At 46.9% G+C, this 14,013-nt stretch overlaps 1 protein-coding gene and 1 pseudogene across 1 annotated transcript in view, besides 8 other annotated features; both read right to left on the bottom strand.

Annotated features, from left to right (window-relative positions):
• The window catches only part of SAMM50 (SAMM50 sorting and assembly machinery component), a 41,088-nt gene extending 34,150 nt beyond the window's left edge, over nucleotides 1–6,938 (bottom strand). The window contains exon 1 of the mRNA NM_015380.5: nucleotides 6,782–6,938. Coding sequence (NP_056195.3) covers nucleotides 6,782–6,802 — 21 coding nt within the window. The 5' untranslated portion in view covers nucleotides 6,803–6,938. The remainder of the gene's footprint in view (nucleotides 1–6,781) is intronic.
• RPL35AP36 (ribosomal protein L35a pseudogene 36) lies at nucleotides 4,988–5,414 on the bottom strand (annotated as a pseudogene).
• Nucleotides 6,194–6,403: an enhancer, noted in NCBI's record as "active region_19195". NCBI's record gives its function as "activates an Ori minimal core promoter by ATAC-STARR-seq in GM12878 lymphoblastoid cells {active_cell/tissue: GM12878}" and the evidence as "EXISTENCE:reporter gene assay evidence [ECO:0000049][PMID:35858748]".
• Nucleotides 6,194–7,713: a biological region, named in NCBI's record as "H3K27ac hESC enhancers GRCh37_chr22:44350547-44351299 and GRCh37_chr22:44351300-44352051".
• Nucleotides 6,209–6,960: an enhancer, noted in NCBI's record as "H3K27ac hESC enhancer chr22:44351300-44352051 (GRCh37/hg19 assembly coordinates)". NCBI's record gives its function as "activates a minimal SCP1, AML or CMV promoter by ChIP-STARR-seq in naive H9 embryonic stem cells {active_cell/tissue: H9 hESC(naive)}" and the evidence as "EXISTENCE:reporter gene assay evidence [ECO:0000049][PMID:30033119]".
• Nucleotides 6,846–7,120: a silencer, noted in NCBI's record as "fragment chr22:44351140-44351414 (GRCh37/hg19 assembly coordinates)". NCBI's record gives its function as "represses an EF-1alpha promoter that drives an FKBP-Casp9 reporter gene in an ReSE screen in HepG2 liver carcinoma cells {active_cell/tissue: HepG2}" and the evidence as "EXISTENCE:reporter gene assay evidence [ECO:0000049][PMID:32094911]".
• Nucleotides 6,961–7,713: an enhancer, noted in NCBI's record as "H3K27ac hESC enhancer chr22:44350547-44351299 (GRCh37/hg19 assembly coordinates)". NCBI's record gives its function as "activates a minimal SCP1, AML or CMV promoter by ChIP-STARR-seq in naive H9 embryonic stem cells {active_cell/tissue: H9 hESC(naive)}" and the evidence as "EXISTENCE:reporter gene assay evidence [ECO:0000049][PMID:30033119]".
• Nucleotides 7,084–7,163: an enhancer, noted in NCBI's record as "active region_19194". NCBI's record gives its function as "activates an Ori minimal core promoter by ATAC-STARR-seq in GM12878 lymphoblastoid cells {active_cell/tissue: GM12878}" and the evidence as "EXISTENCE:reporter gene assay evidence [ECO:0000049][PMID:35858748]".
• Nucleotides 7,244–7,293: an enhancer, noted in NCBI's record as "active region_19193". NCBI's record gives its function as "activates an Ori minimal core promoter by ATAC-STARR-seq in GM12878 lymphoblastoid cells {active_cell/tissue: GM12878}" and the evidence as "EXISTENCE:reporter gene assay evidence [ECO:0000049][PMID:35858748]".
• Nucleotides 10,539–10,708: a silencer, noted in NCBI's record as "fragment chr22:44347552-44347721 (GRCh37/hg19 assembly coordinates)". NCBI's record gives its function as "represses an EF-1alpha promoter that drives an FKBP-Casp9 reporter gene in an ReSE screen in HepG2 liver carcinoma cells {active_cell/tissue: HepG2}" and the evidence as "EXISTENCE:reporter gene assay evidence [ECO:0000049][PMID:32094911]".

The raw sequence follows: 14,013 nt of genomic DNA, 5'->3' as shown, positions 1-14,013 counted from the left end.
CAGACAGTCTCTGACTTACAATGCTTCAACTTACAGTTTTTTGACTTTACAATGATGCCAAAGTGATATGCGTTCAGGAGGAACTGCACTCCGAGCACCCACACAGCCATTCTGATTTTCACTTACAGTACTCAAGAAACTACATGAGATCTTCAACACTTTATTCTAAAATAGGCTTTGTGTTAGATGATTTTGCCCAACTGTAGGCTAATGTAAGTGTCGTGAGCACGTTTAAAGTAGGCTAGGCTAAGCTATGATGTTCTGTCGGATATGTGTATTAGATGCATTTTCAACTTACATTTCAACTTACGATGAGTTTATTGGGTTATAGTTGAGAAACATCTACATAAACATAATATCACATACACACACACACACAGACACACACACACACACATAATCACTTGAGCCTAGGAGTTTGAGACCAGCCTGGGCAATATAGGAGACTTCATCTCTACTAAAAATAGTAATAATAGTAAAAATAAAACATAAAGAAAGGTCAAGTATGGTGGGTCACACCTGTAATCCCAGCACTCTGAGAGGCCCAGATGGGAGGATTGCTTGAGCCCAAGAGTTCAAGATCATGCTAGGCAACATAATGAAGTCTCGTCTCTATTTTAAAATAATAGGCCAGGCACAATGACTCACACCTGTAATCCCAGAACTTTGGGAGGCCAAGGAGGTCAGATCACTTTAGGTCAGTAGTTTGAGACCAGCCTGGCCAACATGGTGAAACTCCATCTCTACTAAACAAATACAAAACTTAGCCAGGTGTGGTGGTGTGTGCCTGTAGTCCCAACTACTTGGAAGGGTAAGGCAGGAGAATCGCTTGAACCCAGGAGACAGAGGTTGCAGTGAGCTAAGATCACTCCACTGCACTCTAGCCTAGGTGACAGAGCAAGACTCCATCTCAAAAATAAAAATAAATATACTTATGTATACATTGTATTATATATACTTACATATTTAACATATACTATTTATTCAATTCTTATTTGTTCCTATGTTTGCTTGACCATAAGTCTCTGGGACACATGCTTAACCACACGAGGATTCCCAGTCACCTCTTAGAGATGGACACAGAAGGTCTAGTGTGGCACCAAGCGATTCTTACAAATCAGCAAGTTTGGAGAAAACTATGTGAACCAATATCTGACTATTTCCTTGCTCCAAGAATTCTCTACAATTAGGCACTTTTAAAGTGTGTGTTTAACATCTGCAAATATGGAGCAGTGGGGCCTCTGGGCTACTATCCACTTTTCCCCGGAAAGGTAACTGACCTGCCAGTATCATATTCCCTTTCCAGGCCCTTCCCTAAAAGCCTCTGATGATCCTCAGAAGTACCTAAAGGAAGAGCATCCATCTAGGTTCCTTAGCAGGGTACAAGGAACTCTGCCGTAAGGCCTGCATCTGCTACTCCAGTTTCCATCTCCACCACCCGCTCCACCCGCACATTCAGGCTTTTGCATACCTTGCCCCCTCTTCCAGAATAACTTGCCCCTATGAAGCTTCAAGATCCACCTTAATGTCATCTCCTGCAAGCCATTCCTGGCTTCTTTAGGGAGAATCGGTTCCTCTCTCACAGGGACACCTCTTGATACTTGAAGTCTGTGACCTTCACAGGTACCCCTTCTGTTTCTTTTTTTCTTTTGAGACAGAGTCTTGCTCTGTGGCCCAGGCTTGAGTGTAATGGCGCAATCTCGGCTCACTGCAACCTCCACCTCCCGGGTTCGAGCCATTCTCATGTCTCAGCCTCCCAGCTAGCTGGGATTACAGGTGCGTGCCACTATACCTGGCTAATTATTGTATTTTTAGTAGAGACGGGGTTTCGCCATGTTGGTCAGGCTGGTCTTGAACTCCTGACCTCAGATGATCCACCCACCTCAGCCTCCCAGAGTGCTGGGATTACAGGCGTGAACCACTGCGCCTGACCTGTTTCTTATTTTTATCTGCCCTGGCACCTCGGAAGTACTCAATAAATATTTGTGGAATGGGGAATGAACGACTTTTCCGTTCTTTCATTTAACAAATAAGTACTGAAAGTCCACTGTGTGCTGGGTGCTGGGTTCACAGCAGTGACCAAGACCGGGTCCTTGTGGGTAAGGAAGATCATGTTAGGCAAAGAATGGATAATTTCCCATCTCTATCCTTTCAATTTTGTTGTGCAGTATTTTCAAAATGGAATTATTATATTTCTCAAAAATATGAACAAAGTAAGATTATGTGCACATACTCATCTTAATCTGAATGCCTAGCAAAAATGCTTTATCTAGGCAAAGGTTTATATCCCATTACGCTGAAAAAATTCCACTGCACTTTCTAAAATCTCCAAGCATGAAACAAGGTTCACCAAAGATCTTCCAGGTCCATCCGTATTCTTTAATCTAAAATCCAGACTTCAAGAGATGACACCATTGAAGTTTCACAGTTACAACCTCTTATACCTATTCATACATCTTACATCTATTTTTCTATTATCTCTAAACCCTAAAGTCATTATAGGATTAATACCCTGTAAATATACTTTAATCAAAATATTAGTAACTGTGTTACTAATATTCATTCATTCACCAAATATTAAGATCCTACTGTGTGACAAGCACTTATAAGAACCTCACCCTCATAGAATGTACATCCCATAAATTCTATGCCTAGAATAATAGGCATGGGGTGAGTGTTTGGTAAAATGCGCTAAAATATATATTTGGGCTAGGCACAGTAGCTCATGTCTGTACCTAGCACTGGCACTTTGAGAGGCCAAGGCAGGAGGATCACTTGAGCCCAGGAGTTTGAGACCAGCCTGGGCAACATAGTGAGACCCTGTTTCTATTAAAAAGTGTGTGTGTGTGTGTGTGTGTGTGTGTGTGTGTGTAATATAAAAAAATAAAATAAATATTTGGATGTAGCCTTTAACCTTTAAGCAGATCGGTCTACCAGTCAGTCAATAAGTGTGTATTGAGCACCATGTGCAAGGCAGCGGGTATGGGACATGAAATGAATGAGTTATGAACAGCATCTTTAAAGTGAGATAGACTAGAATCCAAGAGAAAATATAACAACAGGCTGGGCACAGTGGCTCACACCTGTAATCCCAACACTTCAGGAGGCTGAGGCAGGCAGATCACCTGAGATCAGGAGTTCAGGACCAGCCTGGACAACATGGTGAAACCCCATCTCAGGTAAAAATACAAAAGTTAGCTGGGTGTGGTGGCACCTGTCTGTAATCCCAGCCACTCAGGGGGCTGAGGTAGGAGAATCGCTTGAACCCAGGAGGCAGAAGTTGCAGTGAGCCAAGATCACGCCACTGCACTCCAGCCTGGGAGACAGAGCAAGACTCCATCTCAAAAAAAAAAAAAAAAAAGAAAACTGAAAATATAACAATACATAACACATATTAAGTATTATTGCACAAAATTTTGTTTGACATAAGCATGAGTACTAGGTGGTAAATGGCAAATGTTTTCTTACTGTTTGAGTCTTGATCAAAAAGTCTGAAAGACACTGGCTAGTGGGATGAAAAAGTCAAATAAAAGAACTGAAAACGTTTTTTTCTCAAAACACTCATCAAAGCAGCAGCAATTTTAATGTAAAAAGAGCTCCACAGGCTAGGCGCAATGGCTCATGCCTGTAATCCCCGCACTTTGGGAGGCTGAGGCGGGTGGATCACAAGGTCAGGAGATTGAGACCATCCTGGCCAACATGGCAAAACCCTGTCTCTACTAAAAATACAAAAATTAGCCAGGTGTGATGGCACACGCCTGTAGTCCCAGCTACTCGGGAGGCTGAGGCAGGAGAATCACTTGAACCCGGGAGGCAGAGGTTGCAGTGAGCCGAGATGGCGCCACTGCACTCCAGCCTGGGTGACAGAGAAAGACTCCGCCTCAAAAAAAAAAAAAAAAAAAAGAGCTCCATAAAGGCAGATACTTTTTTCCCTGTATCCCTGGCACCTATCACAGTGCTAGGCACATAGCAGACCATCAATAAATATGAGCTGAATAAATAATGAGTGATTACTTTGTTCAAGATGCCACAGGGGATGCAAGCCAAGAAGATGCAGTTCCTACCATTACATCTAGAAATTTAGGATCAAAGGATAAGACGAAAATGCAAACAGACCCAAAACAAGCCAAAATGTAAATGGCACCAAAGGAAATGGCACGGAAAGGCGAAGCCCATCCAAATGCAGGGGATAAAGAACTTTCAGAACGGAGTTCTAAAAGATGGGAATATTTTGATGCTAAAGATGGATGATGGGAGGGGGAATGAAGTGCAATAGTGCGGTCCAAATAAAGCCATCCTCACAGGGCTAACAAGAATTCTGGACAAAGGCCAGGCGTGGTGACTCATGCCTGTAATCTCAGCACTTTGGAAGGCCGAGGCAGGCGGATCACAAGGTCAGGAGATCGAGACCATCCTAGCTAACAGTGAAACCCCGTCTCTACTAATACAAAAAATTAGCCGAACATGGTGGCAGGCGCCTGTGGTCCCAGCTATTCAGGAGGCTGAAGCAGGAGAATGGTGTGAATCTGGGAGGTGGAGCTTGCAGTGAGCCAAGACCGTGCCACTGCACTCCAGCCTGGGCACAGAGCAAGACTCTGTCTCAACAACAACAAAAAAAATTATTCTGGACATCTGGACAGAAATGTAGTTATAATTGGCTGGGCGCAGTGGCTCACACCTGTAATCTCAGCACTTTGGGAGGCCGAGGCGGGATGATCACTTGAGGTCAGGAGTTCAAGACCAGCCTGGCCAACATGATGAAACCCCCGTCTCTACTAAAAATACAAAAATTGGCTGGGTGTGGTGGCGTGCGCCTATAATCCCAGCTACATGGGAGGCTGAGGCAGGAGAATCGCTTGAACCTGGGAGGCGGAGGTTGCAGTGAGTGGAGATTGCACCATTGCACTCCAGCCTGGGCAACACAGTGAGACTCCATCTCAAAAGAAATGTAGTTACAATTAACCATTAATCAAGTTGCCTTTTTTTTTTCAAGAGCACAAATCCACATTGATTTATTGACTTTTCATTAGTTTAAATCCTTGAGGGGTACAGCATTACTCGGATTCTGTGTCCAACAGCCTTAGCAGGAAGATTGCTTCAGAATTTGGCACGAATCATGCCATTGTTTCTGTGGGCCCGAGTTACCTTTCCCCAGATTACTCTGGCTTTGTTTGATTTGCCGCCAGGAGTCACTATGTTGTTCTTTGCTTTGTATACATGAGCCCAAATAGAATTCTGTTTCATCTCGGGCATAAACACCTTCAATTTTAAGAAGAGCTGTGTGCTCCCTTTGGTTCCGGAGACTCCACTTATAGCCAGCAAAAATGGCCTTGGACCACAGCCTTCCAGACATATTTCCTTTCAGAAGTCCTGCTCCCGGCAGGCCGCCACAGGAGCCAAGATGGCAGGAAGAGCTCAGGTTGCACTCTGACCTACTTGCTAGTAACCAAAAGTCACAGATACTATTTGCATCCCCATTGATTTTACAGATAGGATTTCTAAAATTAGAATCATAAGGCTTTTGCTTAAGAGTTGCTTTAGATGTTTTTCAGATCTCGAATTCCAGCAAAACTGATGCTGCCAACCAGTTTGAAGACTCCTCCCCGCAACAGAGGAACGGAATCAGCATGAGAAGTTTCCTCATCTCCCTGTCCCATAACTTCACCCTTCACTCTTCCACCAATCAAGGATCTCCACACTTCAGCAAAAACATGAGGTCCAAACTCCTGAAGGAGATGGATTTGAGGTTTCCTCTCTTTTCCCATCTCCTCGTTCAGCGGCCCTGCAACTGAAACTCTTTCTCTGCTGCAACCCACTGTCTGAGTGTATTGACTTATCGAGCACACTGAGCAACAGACCTATTACAGTTACACAAAGAGATGTCAGAAGAGAAACGGTGTTTGATCTGAATGAAAGACATATAAAGGGAAGTTAAGTCCAATTATCGATGTCAGGCTGCGACTTCTGTGCTAAATTTTTTTGGAAGTTAATGGGGAACTACTGAAAACGTCTATGCAGGTCAAGTGAAGCAATCAAAGTTGCAGTAGAAAAGTAGTGTTGGGGCTGAGACTCAGGAAATCTGAGGTTTTAGGCCATTTGGAACCAGTAACTATGTGACCTTGGAGAAGTAACTCATTATCTGGCCCTTATTTAAGATTAGGATAAACGAGAGGAGTTTGGCAACCAGTACAGTTAGTCAGGCGCCAGGCACCCAAGTATTCACATGCATTGTCTTTTAATTCTCTTTTAAGCCAGGCGAGGTAGGTACTATTACTACCTCCACTTTAAAACAGGAAGTAAGGCAGAGAGCGGTTCCGTCTTTTGCACGGTAGACAGGAGAAAAGAGGACCCCTAGATAGGTTTGAGTTAGAAGACTTCAAAGGATTCTTGTTGCTCTAGGAGCCTACAATGGCTCCAGCAGCGGCTGAGCGGGGAAAGGCTGGAAGTGACCAGTAAAGAGAGAAAACTTAAAATCATGCAAAGAAAGAGCACATTCACTGCGGTCTAAGACATCACAGAAAGTTGGCAAGTCCTTTGGGCCACGGACTCGCCGAGTGACCTTTAGCCAAGTCTCGTCCCTCCTATCAGGTTCCTGCTCGAAGGTCTGCAAGACTCGCTGGCCCGAGGCGACCTCTTTTCGGCCTCCTCCACCCAGCCCGGCACCCTTGGCACCCTCTCTCCCGGTGAACCCTGGGCGCAGCCACGAGAGCGTCTCCCCGCGGCGCCCGTCTGCCCTGCTGGCCCAGAGGCCTCGCAGCCCGCGGGTCGCTGGGCCTCTTACCCGGGCGTGCACAGTCCCCATGGTTCCCTCTCCAGCCGCTGCCTCGCAGAGCTGCCCGGGCGGGACAGAGCGTCTGCTGCTGAGGGCAGAAGGCGGGTCCGCGGTGGCGGAGCTGCAGGTCAAGGCAACTCCCACAAACCCCCGGACGCGGAACACTGGGGGCGGCCATGATTCCCCGCCTTCTCCGCGCCCCCTGGCTCGCGATGCCTTCGCTCATTGGTCCTTATGCGCCTGTGACCCGGATGTTCACACGGCCGCGGAGGACGTTCTGACTGCGCAAGCGAAGAGCGTTCACTGACATCCGCGAAGCTGCTGGCGCGTGGACTGTGTGGGGAGGGCGCGTGGGGTGAAGGTGGGTCTGCGAGAGGGTCCGCTGGGAGGCTGGCGTCTGGCGTTGGCGCCTGAAAGAGATCAGACCAGCTGTTGGGTGTCACTCAAGTCCTGCTGCTCTTAGCCCTCCTAGCACCCCCGACCCGAGGGTGCTGTGCTTGTGCCCACGCGCCGGTGAAGCCCCGAGACTCAGCGGGGAGACCCCGGGTCCGGCCACCCCCGAGCTGCAGTAGTCGGGTCTCACCGGCATCTGCTACACAAACCCGGATTGGTGCCCTGGCTCCTTTCGTTCAAGTCATTGGAACCCCCACTCAAAATCGTCAAAATGAAGACGATGGTCGTGTCTCCTTCTTGGGGGTTGGATTAAAAGGGCCTAATGTGAGAGACGGAAAGCAAAGCTCCCGGCACCGGGCCGGGCACACGGTGGGCGCTAGATAATGACCGCTATTCACTCAACTGCAGCCAGTAATTATGGGCGAGGGCCATCTAGGTGCTTGCATGAGAACCAGTCATATCGGTGAAGAAGACGGCCATGGGCTTAGGTTTTGGTGGCAAAACAGCTCCCCTGCCCCAAAAAAGAAAAGAGAATAGAAAAGAAAAAGGCATAATAAATATCAGCCACACATTGTGATAAGTATATTGAAAGAAACGAGACAGAATAAGAAAAGAGGAAGCTTCAGTATCCTGTCACGTTGCCACTCCCTTCTGATAACAGAAGCATCTTTTCTTCTGTCCCCTTACTCCCTCCCAGAAACCCTGACACCCTTTCCATTTAAATAGCAGCACCCTAGGCCTCCAACATCCCTGAGCTAAATATTCAAGTCCACATGTCCCTTCTTGCCTGGAAAGAGACAGAACCCAGCACCAGCCAGGCCCCTGCCCTTCCCTCACTCTCAGTTCCCTGAGCCTCAATTCCTTATCTGTAAAATGGAAATGATAGCCTAAGGCATAAGGTCTGAGGACCTCATGAGATCAAGCATGGGGCCTGGCACTCTGTAAACATCGAATCAACCAGATTTTCTTTGCCCAAACAGCCCTCTTTTCTTACACTTTCTTCCTCGTTATTCTTCTGAGTATGCCACTTGTAAAGGATAAGCCATGAGGTTGCCCTGCAGAGTGCAAGATGGTTGCAATATTTGAGAGCCTATTGTGTGTGAGGCCCTGGAGGATGGCAGAGGGAACAGGAGGAAAACAAAGTCACATGCTTTACCCTCAAACAAAGGGCTGTCTGCGATAGTTACAATGTATATATTAAAGGCTATCTGTGATAGTTACAATGTATATAATATATTAAAGGCTGTCTGTGGTAGTTAACAATGTGTATATTAAAGGCTGTGATAGTTACAATGGGTATACTATATTAAAGGCGGTGGTAGTTACAATGTATATAATATATTAAAGGCTGTGATAGTTACAATGTACATAATATATTAAAGGCTGTGATAGTTATAATGTATATATTAAAGGCTGTCTGTGATGGTTATAATGTATATAATATATTGAAGGCTGTCTGTGATGGTTATAATGTATATAATATACTGAAGGCTGTCTGTGATAGTTAAGATGTATATATTAAAGGCTGTCTGTGATGGTTACAATGTATATAATAAAGACTGAGAAGTCTCACAGTGCATATACTGGTTTCCTTCTCTTTAACCCAGTATTTCTTGAATTTATTGGGTCATAGAGATTTTTGGTTTTGGAGATTTTTCTGTGGCCTCTGGCAATGCTATTCAACAGTATTTCTTGTGCTCCTCTTTTGGGCACAAGAGAGGATTGCATCTCCCTGCTCCCATCCATGTGACTTGCTTTGGTCAACACATTGTGAGCAGAAGAGAGATGTGCCACTCTGGATGAGAACCTTTAAGAACCATATTTCTCTAACCATGCCATGGCAATCAGCGATCCCCCAATGGTGGGGCACCTACAGGCTAGGTCTGGGAGTGAGGACGACTTAAAATGAAGCCCAGCCACATTTGCTGGACATACAGCACGAATGAGAAATAAACCTTTTGGGTTTTGCTTGTTAATGCAGCATAACTCAGCCTATCCTATATGATAATACCAGCTAGAAACATCTTCAAGGAAACCAGCATCCCAGAAAACCTGGTTTACAAAGTGCCAATCTTGTCCAATCAGAAGTAGAAGTGCAGTTTAGTGACTAAGCTAGTTTCCTTAATACAATCCAGGCTGAGTGCAATGGCTCATACCTATAATCTCAGCACTTTGGGAGGCCGAGGCAGGAGGATTGCTTGAGCCCAGGAGTTCAAGATCAGCCTAGGAAACACACCCCATCACTACAAAATAAAAATAAAAAATAAAAAAAATAGCTGGGCATAGTAGCAAGCACCTGTAGTCCCAGCTACTCCAGAGGCTGAAGCAAGAGGATTGCTTGAGTCCAGGAGTTCAAGATCAGCCTGGAAAACAGTGAGACCCCATCTCTACCAAAAAAAAAAAAAAATGTTTTTAATTAGCTTTTAATTTATTTAATTAAAACCTCCTCAGGAAGCTGAAGGAGGAGGATTGCTTGAGCCCAGGAGGTCAAGGCTGCAGTGAGCTGTGATTGTGCCACTGCACTCCAGCCTGAGCAACAAAGCAAGACCTTGCCTCAAAAAAGTAAAGAAAAACACCCCAAATTTAATTGGCCATGGGGAGGGGAGACTGGATCTTCCCACGGGAGTCATCCACCTATTAGTTTGGGACACCCCTTGGGGTGCCCTTTTTCATCACCTTCCCAGGGGCTGAGCGCCCTGAGGTGAGGGGCTCACCTCATTGCCTCTATCAGCCAGCACCTGACCTCTGAGGAGTGAAGGTGAATCAGTGAGAGGAGCCTGGAAGGGCATTCCCTGGGTGGAGGTCCCCTCGGGAAGCAGGGTGACTCAGGGAAGAGGCTCTGAGCTGCTGGTGGGACTGCAGGAGCTGGAGAGGGTGTGCTAGGAGGGAGTCTGGAGGCAGAGGAAGGCGCTGGGGTTGTGGCGGGGCCTCAGCTTGCCCAGCAGCAACGTGGGTCCCCTCGGGAAGCAGGGTGACTCCGGGGAAAGGCTCTGAGCTGCTGACAGGGCTTCAGGGGCTGGAGGGGGTGTACTGGCAGGGAAGGCCTGGAGGCACAGGAAGGTGCTGGGGGTGTGGTGGGGCCTCAGCTTGCCCAGCAGCAACGTGGAGGGCAGATGGGCCCAAGGCTGAAAACAGGCGGCCCCCAGAGGGAAGCTGTTGCAGCAACCCAGGTAGAAAGTACCAGGGCTGACCCTGGCAGCAGTGGGCTGGGGACAAGAGACCAGATTCCAGAGATGACAGCAGAGGCAGTGCTGGGACCAGCTGGAGTTGGAGCGAGGGAGTCTCCCTGAGTCCCCAGTTCCAGGCTGGGGTGGCTTTGGAGCTGCAGAGCTGAGGTGCTGTGAGCTGGAGGGCTTGATGTTGAGGGGCTGCTGGTGTTGAGTAGAGCCAGAAGGTGGGTAGGTGGCCCCGAATCCCCCCAGAGTCAGAGACTGAGGACCCAGGTCCTCAGGGGGAGCACAGCCTTCCCAGAGGTGGCTGTGCACACTCAGCACAGCAGCTGCAGCTGGGCCTTGGTGACAAGCTCGGTGTCCAGGATAGAGATGGGGTGCCTGAGAGTCTGGGGTTGAGGAAGGAGAGGGATTCTAGGAGGGTCTGGTCCACAGTGCCCAGGAAAGAGCCCCTGGGCTGTGGCAGGGCCATCAAAGGAGCAAGGCCGTAACCCCCTAGGGAGGACTGTCCTAGAGGAGCTTGGCTGTGAGGGAAGCAGGGTACATCGGGGCTCCTTGGAAAGGATGTACACAGGGAGAGTCCTTTAAGAATCACGTTTATTAGGAGTTATTTTCTCATGCTGAAAGTGATGCATACCGTTCACCATAGAAACTTGGGCAACACATATAAGCACGACAAATAAAATACAATTACAAATAACAGTCTGCCATAAGGGTTTTGATATATATCCTTAGTCTTTTTTTTTTTTTTTTTTTTTTTTTTTGAGGTGGAGTCTCACTGCATCTCGGGTCACTGCAACCTCCACCTCCTGGGTTCAAGTGATTCTCCTGCCTCAGCCTCCCTGGTTGCTGGGATTACAGGTGCCCGCCACCATGCCCAGCTAATTTTTGCATTTTTTAGTAGAGATGGGGTTTCACCCAGTCTGGTCTCAAACTCCTGACTTAAGTGATCCGCCTCCCTCAGCCTCCCAAAGTGCTGGGATTACAGGCATGAGCCACCGTGCCCAGCCCTCTTTCAGTCTTTTTATATACACTCAAAGATACATATACACACCCACACACATTTTTTTTTTAAACAAAATCAGGCTCATACTCTGCACTAAGTTTAGCCATTTACCAAATGAAGAATGTTGGACCAGGCATGGTAGCTCACACCTGTAATCCTAGCACTTTGGAAGGCCAAGGCAGGAGCATCACTTGAGCCCAGGACTTGGAGACCAGCCTGGGCAACAAGGCAAGGCCCTGTCTCTACAAAAAAAAACTAGCTGGGTGTGGTAGTGCACACATGTGGTTCCAGCTACTTGGGAGACTGAGGTGGGAAGATGGCTTGACCCCAGGAAGTTGAGGCTGCAGTGAACTATGATTGCACCACCGTACTCTAGCCTGGATGACAGAGCGGGACCCTGCCTCAAAAAAAAAAAAAAAAAAAAAGAATGTTGCCGCCTGACGTGTAATATGCTACATACTGATTATTCCTGAGAGTGGATTCCAAAGCATAAATGTGCCATAAATTAAAGGGAAGGCTTTATTTGATAAGAAGAAATAAGAATGCATTCATAGGCCAATAAGAAACTTCCAGAGGTGGTTCAGGAAGAGAGGGAGGCCTAAGCAAAGGGTGCCTTCTGGAGGGACAGAGAAGGCGGGATTGGGTAGCATCTGAGGCACAGGTGAAGGGGGAGGCCTTGGCCATTTCTATAAGAATATTACACTTCCTGATTTCCTTATCTTGATACACACTTGGAAAAAATTATAAAACAAATGCTTATTTTAAGAAGGTGGAGGAGCCAGGCATGCCTGTAATCCCAGCACTTTGGGAGGCTAAGGCAGGAAGACTGCTTAAGCCAATGAGTTCAAGACTAGCGTGGGTAACATAGCAAGACCCTGTTTCTACTAAAAATAACTTTAGTCATTAAAACAATAAAAATAAAGAAGATTGAATAATTTATTTTTTATTTTTTATTTTTTATTTTTTTGAGATGGAGTCTCACTCTGTCACCCGGGCTGGGGTGCAGTGGCACGATCTCAGCTCACTGCAACCACCACCTCCTGGGTTCAAGTGATTCTCCTGCCTCAGCCAACCCACTAATTGGGATTACAGGCGCCTGCCACCACACCTGGCTAATTTTTGTGTTTTTAGTAGAGACAGGGTTTCACCATGTTGGCCAGGCTTGTCCCGAACTCCTGACCTCAGGTGATCTGTCCACGTTGGCCTCCCAAAGGGCTGGGATTACAGGCATGAGCCACCGCACCCGGCCTGAATAATTTTTAAAAGCAGAAAGAAAATACGTCCCATGGTCTCCTATCAGCCATTTAATATATTTTTTCCTGATAACAATCACAATACCCATGTACACATGTATATGGAAATATACTGGTTATTAGAAAATACTGTTGGCCGGGCGTGGTGGCTCACACCTGGAATCCCAACACTTTGGGAGACCGAGGCGGGTGGATCATCTGAGGTCGGGAATTCGAGATCAGCCTGACCAACCTGGAGAAACCCCATCTCTACTAAAAATACAAAAAATTAGCTGGGCGTGGTGGCACATGCCTGTATCTACTTGGGAGGCTTGGCATCTACTTGGGAGGCTGAGGCAGGAGAAACGTTTGAACCCGGGAGGCGGAGGTTGTGGTGAGCCGAGATTGTGCCATTGTACTCCAGCCTGGGCAACAAGAGTGAAACTCCATCTCAAAAAAAAAAAAAAAAGATAAAAAACAATGGTTAAAGTTTATTTATGTCTGCTAATGACCGAAGGCGTGAAGCTAACAGAACAAAGCCTACTGGGAAACTTGGGAAAAGAAACTTGTAACTTTCCTTTCCAACATTGCAAGGGTGGGTCCGTCACAAGGAGGCCACGTGGGTGCCAGATGTGGGCTCCTCCACCCCATTCCAGCTCCATGGGGGACAGTGTCTTGCTCTGACACCCGGTGGGGTTGGGGGTGGAAGACCCTGCCACTCACCAGACCTGAGCTCACTGACGGAGCAACCACTGAACAGAGGCCTTGGGAACTCACTTAGCCCTCAAGATGTAAGAAGGCAGGTTCAAACCCCGGAACTCCTGCCCCGAAGGGGGCTCATTATTTTCACAAGTAGCCTCTTTTCTCAAAGAGTTCACGGTCTTATCAAGAGAACAGGCCCACGTAGAGTTTGTCCCTAGAACCCGTTTCCTTTAAAGGGTCTGTCTTCTCAGTCAAGTGCTTTGTCTGAGCTTGCTGGTTCTTCTACTCCAGGGCACTTACACAATATGGGTAAGGGTTGTATCTTTCTTTTCCAACATTTAACAGTTTGAGCACACCATTATTTTTCTTGTACGTACTGTACTCAAATGCATAAATAGAAAAAAATACACGTTTCACCGTCAGTCATATTACACTGACCTTGCTAATAGATTATCACACCTGGGGAAAAGGTGAGTTCTGGTCTCAAGGGCTTGTCTCCATCAAGGCTGGCAGAGTAGGGAAGACAGAGAGAGGTTGGGGTGATCAGAGAATGAGAAGATGCAAGGAGAAAAAAAGAACGCAGACCAGAAGCATGTGGAAAATTGTGGGTGGCAAACCACCCAGGTGCTGAGGCAAGAGACTGAGGACACGAGCTGTTCCAGTATAATAAAATATAAAACAAGAATAGTTATACCAGATATAGATCTTAGATATGATTATATATGAATATCATTAATC

The sequence above is a fragment of the Homo sapiens genome, chromosome 22 (genome assembly GCF_000001405.40).
Source record: "Homo sapiens chromosome 22, GRCh38.p14 Primary Assembly".
NCBI classification, from domain to species: Eukaryota; Metazoa; Chordata; class Mammalia; order Primates; family Hominidae; genus Homo; species Homo sapiens.
This window is presented reverse-complemented; position numbering and strand designations above follow the sequence as displayed.